This window comes from Homo sapiens, chromosome 4 (assembly GCF_000001405.40).
Source record: "Homo sapiens chromosome 4, GRCh38.p14 Primary Assembly".
In the NCBI taxonomy this organism is placed as follows: domain Eukaryota; kingdom Metazoa; phylum Chordata; class Mammalia; order Primates; family Hominidae; genus Homo; species Homo sapiens.
In genome coordinates this window covers 11,248,578-11,258,299 of record NC_000004.12, presented here as the reverse complement: position 1 = coordinate 11,258,299, position 9,722 = coordinate 11,248,578, and positions in this window count along the sequence as shown.

Sequence of the window (9,722 nt, the reverse complement as noted above, 5' to 3'; positions counted from 1 at the left end):
TCATTTCCTTTTTTAATAATAGTTATCTTAACAGGCTTAAGATGAGATCTCATTATGATTGTGATTTGCATTTTTCAGATGATTAGTGATATTGACCATCTTTTCATATATCTTTTGGCCATTTGTATGTCTTCTTTGGAAACATATCTATTCAAATCCTTTAAAGCTATTAAGCTACTAGAAGAAAACATAAAGGAAATTTTTTTTTTCTTTTTCTTTTTTTGTTGAGACGGAGTCTCACTCTGTCGCCCAGTCTGGAGTGCACTGGCGCAATCTGGGCTCACTGCAAGCTCCGCCTCCCGGGTTCACGCCATTCTCCTACCTCAGCCTCCTGAGTAGCTGGGACTACAGGCGCCCACCGCCACGCCTGGCTAATTCTTTTGTATTTTTAGTAGAGATGGGGTTTCACCGTGTTAGCCAGGATGGTCTCCATCTCCTGACCTCATGATCCGCCCGCCTCGACCTCCCAAAGTGCTGGGATTACAGGCGTGAGCCACCGCTCCCGGCCAGGAAAAGTTTTATGACATTGGTCTAGGCAATGATTTCTTAGAACAAGCAACAGAAGCAAAAATAGAACAGTGGGAATGAATTAAACTAATATGCTTATTTATTCATAACAGTTTATTTATAATAGCAAATAAAACAATCACCAGAATAAATAAAAAAAAGCAAGCTATGGAATGAACATATTTGGCCATCAAGCATCTGATGAAAGTTACTCTTCAAAATACCTAAAAAACACCTACAACTTAATAGCAAAAAGCACATAATCTGATTTAACCACACAGCCACCTAGTGAGGCAAAGGTTAAAAACTGCTCTTTATAGACTAGGAAAAGGAAAGTTGAAGAAGTTAAGTAGCAAATCCAAAGTTACCCATGCATGGACTCAGAAATTAAGCCCAGCTTTCCCTGACTGCAAAGTGCACACATACACATACACAAACTCACAAGTGTGGTACTTTTTTGACTGTGAGAGTCACGATATTTAGCACATATTAAGCTATTACTATTTCCATATACTGTACAATCCTTGAGAATATAGCTCCAACAAAACCCCAGCTCTCATGGAGCCTCCATTCCGTTCAGATAAGCTAACATTAAAATAATAACTATAAAAACATAATTGAAGAATTATTGTTTCTAGTCTGAAACACAAAGAGCTTAGAAGTCACCACACGTCTTCCAATGAGAAGGGAGCTATATTTGGAGGTAATTTGGAGGCAATTGCATATAAAGCAGGTAAATTGCTTTAAATGAGGTAATAAAGGTGGAGCCCTGATCTGATAGGACTTGTGTCTTTATTAGAAGAGACACCACAGGATCTGCTCTCTGAGCACAGACAGCAAGGAAAGGCTGTGTGAGAACATAGCAAGAAGGTGGCCACGTGTAATCCAGGAAGAGAGCCCTTCTCACAATCTGAATTAACCAGAACCTTTATCTTGAACTTCTATCCTACAGAACTATGAGAAAATCAGTTGCTGTTATTTAAGCCACCTAGTTTATAGTATTTTTCTATGGCAGCCAGAGCAAAATGTGTGACAAGGCATAGGCAGTTGATTACAAACAATCCCTCATTTTGGTGCTTATTTTCCACAAGGCTTGGCTAAGTTCTTCCACGGAAATCACAGAGGGAGACAAGGAAGGAGGAGGAAACATTGACTGCGATTTCCTCTAAGGCTAAGAAGTCAACAGAGAAGGCAGACTCTGAGTATATCAGATCTGTGAAGCTAGAGGGGCTCACAGGATGGCAAGACCTTAGAGAGAAATGGTGTGGCATGTATCCTGGGAGCACAGGCCTGAAACACAGCAAAGATTTCTGTGCCCCCTGGGCTAGATGCCACTTGATCTTTCTGCTTTAAGGACTTTGTAGACTGAGGCACAAGGATATCAGCAAGAATCATAATTGAAAACCCTATTTCCTATTTTGTAGGCACCATGAAAGCCTCCAGAATAATTTTGAAATCTTCAGAGAATAATGACTACTACTAATAACGAATTCTTCCACCAGTTCACAACTAGTGACTTAGAGTCAGATTTAACATGATTTAAAGGAATGATAAATAAATGTGATATTCTTGTCGACTCAGTTAGTGTAGTAAGATACTCATCAGTCATATATGAAAATGCTATTTGGGTCAGACCAATATGTAGAGTTTTTTGGGTGAAGCAGAAGGTGCAAAAAGAAGTAGAGAAAGGAAGAGCAGGAATATGTTTTAACAGAGATTGGAACACTGTTTTGCCAGAGTCCATACTCAGCGTTCAAGCAGCCCCACGGAGATGTTCTTTAATCAACCCCACTTTATAGCTGCTCTCTTAGCTGTGTCTCCAGACATGTTGTCCAAAATCTGGATGACATTTAATGTTCATTCCAGCCTGGAGGGGACATGAATAAAGCCATACTGTAAGCTGAATGGGACATCTGGATTAAACCTAACTTCCTCTCATGGGCATGGCTCCCCTTTCTAAAGACGTATGCAAGGTCTGCTGATTGCCAGGAGCCAAGGATGAGCTGCTAAAGAGAAAGGAAGCCGCATCCTTCTCTGAGACAAGAAGTCCTAAATGCAGCCCATACGTACTGAATTCTTGGCCAGCAGCATTTGACTCTGATGATCAAAAGTCAACCTGCCAAAATGAGGTGGGTGAAGCAGCTTAGCATATGGAGCTGTCTTCTTTGGAAGCACTCCCTTAATCCTCAAACCAAAGGATGTTAAATTGATAGGCTGCTCCGATGTCCTCTGATTTATTGCAGACCAGTGTCATGGGCTGGGTGGAATTCATTGTGAGAAAGGGCTCAGAAGGGACAGTTAAAGCCTTGAGTTCAAATCCTGCCCTAGTGTTTCTGCTACCCTAGTATCTAACAGTAAGACATGCCTTTTTAAATCTTTGGGAGAATTAAATAAAATACGGTAGACATAGCCACTTTATCAACTGCAAAGCATAGATAGTAGGTCTTGCTGTACTTTTATAAATGGTGTTAGTGATTATAGTTTAGTACCTTCAAACAATGTAAATAAAATAATAGAAAATATCACACAGTGCTTACTACTGCCAGAAAATGTACTATGTTCTAAAAGCTTTACATATTTTAATTCACTTAATCTCCATGCTAACTCTACATGGTAGTTACTTCTATGATACCATTTTACAGAAGAGGAAACTAAGGCATAGTGGAGTTAAGTAACTTGCCCAAGGTTATACAGCTTTAAATGGTGGTCCTAGAATTTAAAACAGATTATCTCTCCTTAGAGTTCTTAGTTTTACCACTGAGTTGTACTGTTTTTCTGAACTCTCATCTCCAAGTATTCTCCCAGTTCACATTGCTTTTTGTTCTTTCTTGATGTCTTTGTCCAGTCATTCTCTCAAAAACCATTGATAGAAAGTCCTATGGGTCACAGCACAGGTCTAGGCCCAGTGTGGTGGTGACTATGGGACACCCATTCTTCCAAGCCCTCAGAGGTGGGACAGCATCTGAGTGAACATGATTTTGCATGTATGTGATGCTAATTTTACGTATTAACTTGGCTGGGCCCTGGAGTCCAGATGTTTGGTCAGGCATTTTTTTTAGATTTTTGGGATGAGACTAATATTTAAATCTGTGGACTTTGAGTATAGAAGATGACACTCCATATTGTCAGTGGATCTCACCTAACCAGCTGAAGGCCTGAAAAGAACCAGCAATGACCTCCTTTGAGTAAGGAGGAATTCTGCCAAAAGATGACCAATGGACTCTACTGCAGCTCATCTGAGTCTCCAAACTGCCAGCCCGCACTCTGGATTTTGAATTTGCAAAGCCTCCACAATCATCTGAATGAATTCCTTAAAAATCAGTCTATCTATGTGTGTGTGTGTGTATCCAGTTAATGTATTAGTGTAATTTGTGGATTTGTGTAATTAAAGGGCCACAGAAAACCAACATGGAAATTTCTTTGACGTTGACGCAGATAACAAAATAGGCAGCAACATGGCACGTGTAGTCTTCTGCTTTCTCTCAGAAGATTATCCTGATAGTTCCTCAGTTCAGCCACAGCTAAAAGATTTTGATGTTCATTAAGTGGCCCCTTTACTTGTTAATGTAGTGCCAAGAATGGCAAGAAAATAATGGGCTGAGTGGAGTGAGGATGGCTTGACTTGAAGGAGATGTCAGACCTCTTACAGCACCCACACTCTGCCATGCCTAGGAGCTCACTTCTCACATCTGCCAGCTTTACCCTCTGCTGGACATCTGGTGTGGGCTCATGCCAAAGGGATCACTTCTAGTGAGGCAAGGAACCTTAATTGATCATTCTTCTTTTTTCCTGCCTGTGCTCCTGAAGTTTTGCTCAGTCCTCACTCATCCTAGACACATGAAACATGATGACCAAAGCAGGAGAAGGAACAGGGAAAGTGGTGTCAGGAAAGCAAGGCCAAGAGGAACTTCAAGAAAGGGAGAAGAGGCAGTAAACACATGACACCTGCATAGGAATACAGGCAGGCTTTCCTGAACTTAGCGATAGGCAACCTTAAGGGAGGCAGAGCCAGTTCCATGGAGGGTAAAAGGACCTTGATATTAGGAGGTTGCAAATGGAACAGAGGAGGAGAAAATCAAGAAAGTGAGGATTGGACTTTCCATAATCTCAGCAATAAAAGATTTTAGAGTCAAAGGCATCTCTCTCTCTTTCCTCTCTCTCCCTCTCTTTCTCTCTCTCCCCCCCTCCTCTTCCTATCCCTTCTTCTCTCCCTCCCATTCTCTCTCTCTCTCTCTCTCTCTCTCTCCCCTCCATCCCTTTTGCTTTTCTTTAGTTTTAGACATGGAGGAACTCCTTGAACATCTTTCCATGTCGAGATCAAAAAGGCAATAGAGAGGAGAAGTTAAATTAAAAGGATAATTGATGGAGAGAGAAATGTCTTTAAGGAGGTTGAAGGCCATGGTATTTAGAGCAGAGCTGGAAGAATTATGTGCCAAGTGCTGCTGGCACTGGAAGAATTGTGTGCCAAGTGCTCCTGGCACTGTGGTGCAAGCCAGCTCCATCATACCTGGATCCACTTGTCAGTTAGTTACCAAATGTCAAGGAAAAATACAAGGAACTTGTAGCAGACAGTGTTGGTGCTCCTTCCAGATCCCCTCACATTCCTTTTTTATTTAGGTATTTTCTTGGTCGTTAATTGGTTTGTTTGCTTCTTTAGTGTGCCTTCAAGGTCTTCCCAAGTCTTCTTTGGCTTCTAACACCAACACCTTTTCTTGGAGGAAATGCCATTGAGCTACCTGTAGGCAAGGTAACAGGAAGTACCTGGGAACTTAGTCCTCTCAGGAGTCCTCTCAGGAGTCCTCTCAGGCCAGTAATGGACAGATGCCGGGTTGTGCAAACCCAATTTCTTTGCTTGGTAGGAAGACTCAGAGGCACACTTTACAGTTGAGAATTTTGCTCTGGAACAGCCCAGAGCCAGTCCTCTCTGAGACTTTGCCTGAGCCCTTGGTCTTGCATGGATTCCTGCCCTTCACTTTCTGCTTTCTACATACCCTTTGGTTCTTTGCTTCAAGACTTTTCTTAAGAAATCCCTTGCAAGTAAATCCTCACTTTTGAGTAGACTTCTGTGGGCCCCCACCTAAAACAGATGCTTTTGAGCAGAAACTTAAAGGACTAACTCAATAAGATGAGTTGGGAAAGAAGATTTTAGACAGATTGATTAGGACCAAGGGTTCAAAGATGAGAAAGTACCCAGGAAGAAAGGGCAATGAGACCACTGAGGTGAGCCTGAGGGTGAAGATGGAGTGACCAGCCTTGAGGAGTGTCCATCCTGGGGGGGAAGACGGACTTGGCAGTGGGATAATCAAAGTTTCAATTGTCTTTTGTGTTTTCCTTTTGAGATAAGAGTGTGGGGAGAAGGATTAGATTTGGGTTGGCAGGATTTTGTACTCCAGCTCTAGAGGGCGTGTCTGGTTCTGCTAAGAAGCCTTGTGATAAGCACCTGCTGAGTGCCCCCAGTGGGCTGTTGTTCATACCGAGAGCAGAGCAGGAAGGCATGTGTTCTCCAGGAGCTCAAACCTTAGCAGCAGAGAATGGTAGAAGCCCCATTAGCTATAGGACCATGAAACTGTGCAATTCAGAGAGAGAGAGCTAGCTACTTGAGGACTTAACAAAGCTCTCTCCTCCCTTGGAGATGACATGAGTGCTGACTCTCCAGTGGGCATTTTAGATACAGAGTAAAAGGGCTGAGGAGGGGCAGGTGGGAAATCATCCAGACACAGCCAACAGCCCAAGGCTAAGACAAGAGCATTTGGTCCAGAGGAGAAAAGATGAGTCCAGAATGGCCACAAACACTCTGAGTGTGGACAAACGTGGTGAAAAGGACACTGAGTTGTAAGTGGGTTCATGCCAATGGGTCTAAACTTAATTATTAAGGTAGGAGGGTCAATGGATCTTAATAGTGGAGGAATGCTTGGATTCTCTCTATGCCTTAGGCAGATGACTGACAACAAGTGACAAGGAAGGTAATTTGCCAACCTCACCTCTACCAGCACAGGTGGGTTTCCTTCTTGCATTATCTCAACTGGGTTGGGAACCCATTCTTTTATCAGAGTCTACTTCTGATAAAACAGATTCTGTATTTCAATACACTTACATTTCCAGGCAACCATGCCAACTATGTTCCCTAAAGGTATTCATGCACAGTTTATTTTTCTGTCTTTTAATTTGGTAAATTGCCCTGTGAGACTGACATATATATTCATGTGTTGTCTTTTACATTTTTTCCTGTTACTTTGCTATTTCTTTAGGTATCCGTCTTGTAAAACTAATAATTAGCATACAATTAAATACAAAAGCAATCAACCCAAGAAGATGGCTCCTATAATTTGTCACAATCTCGCCTGAGCCCTGTATCCCTTTTATTGTTTGATAACTCAAGCCTAGTAGCAAAACATTCAATTATGAGCAGTCTCAATATTGAAGGATTACCTGAATGTGATACAAAATCAAACAAACTATGGCTGTCTTGTTTCTCTTGCAGCCTACAGAGATGGGGCATCAGCAGGTGGCAAAATGTGCACATTGACCTCAGGCCTGATGGAGTTGATAATGAAGGCAACCTGGCCAAGCAACCTTGCAAATAATAGAAAGAGGCTCTTGTTGCAGCTCTCTTTGCTTTGCTGTGAAAACATTTGCTTAAGAGCAAAATGGTATATTTCCAGACCAGTTTAGTGAGGCAAATATAGTTCTAAGGGCAATGCTAATCATTTGGTAAGAGAGGCAGCCAGAAGCTATTTGTTGAAGTTTGTTCTTTGCCAAGTACTTTATGAATATTATTCCTCATTCTCACAATAATTCTGCTGGTGGATCTACTGTCCTCATTAAACACTTGAAAAAACAATGACTTAAAATTTAGTAGAAATTTATTGTAGTGTATGGATCAAGAAGAAGAGAGGAAGAAAATGGGAATTTTAGATTTTCTGGGTAAGAACATACCAAATGGGGAAAGAGCTATCCACTATAATAATATGAGATGATGTTTTTATATTATATACTAATATAACTATGCAAATTCAAAATTGTTTCAATACTAGTAGAAGCAAGTGAAACTGAAACTAATCTTATTTTCTTTCAGGGCTTGGAAAGTAGATCATGTATTCTGTGGGTCAGGGCTAATTCAGGTGCAGAAGACACCTATGCATGACTCCAATCTCAGGAGAGGTTAGAAAAATCAGGGCCCCATGATGTTCAAGTTTTTCAAAGTGGAGCATGGCTTAGAAAGAACTGAAAAATGCTGCATTACACCACACATGCTTGTACAAGGTTAGGATGACAGGGACATATTTATCAGTTAATTTAAAAATCATCCATTAAACATGAATCAATGTACAATTTATTGAGCAACTACTATGTGCCTGTCATTGTATTAGATGCTGAGGCATCAGAGTGAACAGAACAGAGTCCTTGCCACAGTTACATTCTACTGGGGGAGCAGATAACATGTAATTAATGAAAATGACAGGATATAAGTGACATGAAAAAATAAAGCAAGGTAGGAAGATGTGAGAGTGAATATGAGAGCAGAGAGTTCCAAAGGGTAGAACTGGTGGGTGATTGAAGTTGTGCTAGTTGAGTCAAGACCTCAGTGAAGTGCAGAGAAGCTCTTCAGAGAAAGGCTCTGAGAGGAAGACATGCCTGTCATGGTCCAAGAATAGTGAGGGAGCCAGTGTGCCTGCTGGTTACAAAGGAAGGAGAAGAAACATAAACTACACTGCATCTAACACAGAATCCCAGGAAACTGAGGAATTGAGGAGCTGTTTTACTTTTTTTTTTTTTTTTTTTTTCTGAGACAGTCTCACTCTGTTGCCAGGCTGGAGTGCAGTGGCACAATCTCGGCTCACTGCAACCCCCACTTCCTGGGTTCAAGCGATTCTCCTGCCTCAGCCTCCCGAGTAGCTGGGACTACAGGCACATGCCACCACACCCAGCTAATTTTTGTATTTTTAGTAGAGACTGGGCTTCACTATTTTGGCCAGCATGGTCTCCATCTCTTGACATTGTGATCTGCCCGACTCGGCCTCCCAAAGTGCTGGGATTACAGGTGTGAACCACTGTGCCCGGCCCTTGAGAGATGAATTTACTCATTACTGTACTGGTGCAAATCAGTAAGGATATTTTATTTATTTCAATGTTTTATTCTTAACTATTATGGGCACATAATAGTTGCACATACTTATAGTGGTGACATTTTAAGAAAGTGCAATGTTTAAAGTTTAGGCTGTTGAGTCATATTAACTCAACAAATCCTTCATGGAGGGGTCTGAGGATTAATTGTGAGTCAGATACAGTTTTCCAGTAGGGCTTGGTACCAATGATTTCAATGAGACTCTGTCACTGTTCTTAGAATTATTCACACAGTACAGGAAAGAATATCCCTGCCAACAGCTTCCTCTACAGGGAAGAATGAAATAAGCAACCACCAATATGGTAGAGGGAAAAGCACACCCAAAAACATTGCCTTAAAGGGACTTGGGATTTAGCGCTGCCTTCGTCCCTCACTTAACATAATCTCAGAAAAGATAGGTAATCTTCATGTGTTTCAGTTTTCTCGCCAACAGGATGGAGGTTATGATACCTACCTTGAGAAATTTTGGGGACAAATAAAGGAAGCTAAAAGACTGTCACTACTGTGACTGGCCCAGGGCCTGAAAGAGGACATTCTCCCCATCCCCAGAAACAAGAATGAGGCAGGACAGGCCTGTAATTAAGGATGATTCTGAGGGATGCAACTAAGAAGCATCAGTCACTGTAAGAACAGGAGGCCAACTGTAAGAGAAATTTTAGGTTCAAACATCAGAGATTCTAGATATCTACTGCAATTGACCTAGACAAAATTAAGACCAGAGTCAGTAACCAGAATGGAAGCATCAAGGAAAGCCAGGAATGGGGAGTGAGAGCAGGTCAGAAACTGGGGCCAGAGTACAATTCATTCGGTGGCTGGAGGAATAAGTGGCAGGGGCAAGTGGGCTGTCTTTAAGGTTTCTGAGCACCTGTGAGTGATGTACTGTCCTTCATTGAGTCATTTGTTTTCTACTTTTTGCATTTTCTTTTATTTTGTTTCTTCAACAAGTGTTTTGAGTGTGTCCAATGTGCCAGTGCTGTTATAGCTATTGGGGATAAAGAATAAAATAACATTGTCCCCACTCTCAACTACCTTACGTTATCCCGTAGAGGATAAGCAAGTAAATCAAGGAATTTAAACAACAACCAAAATA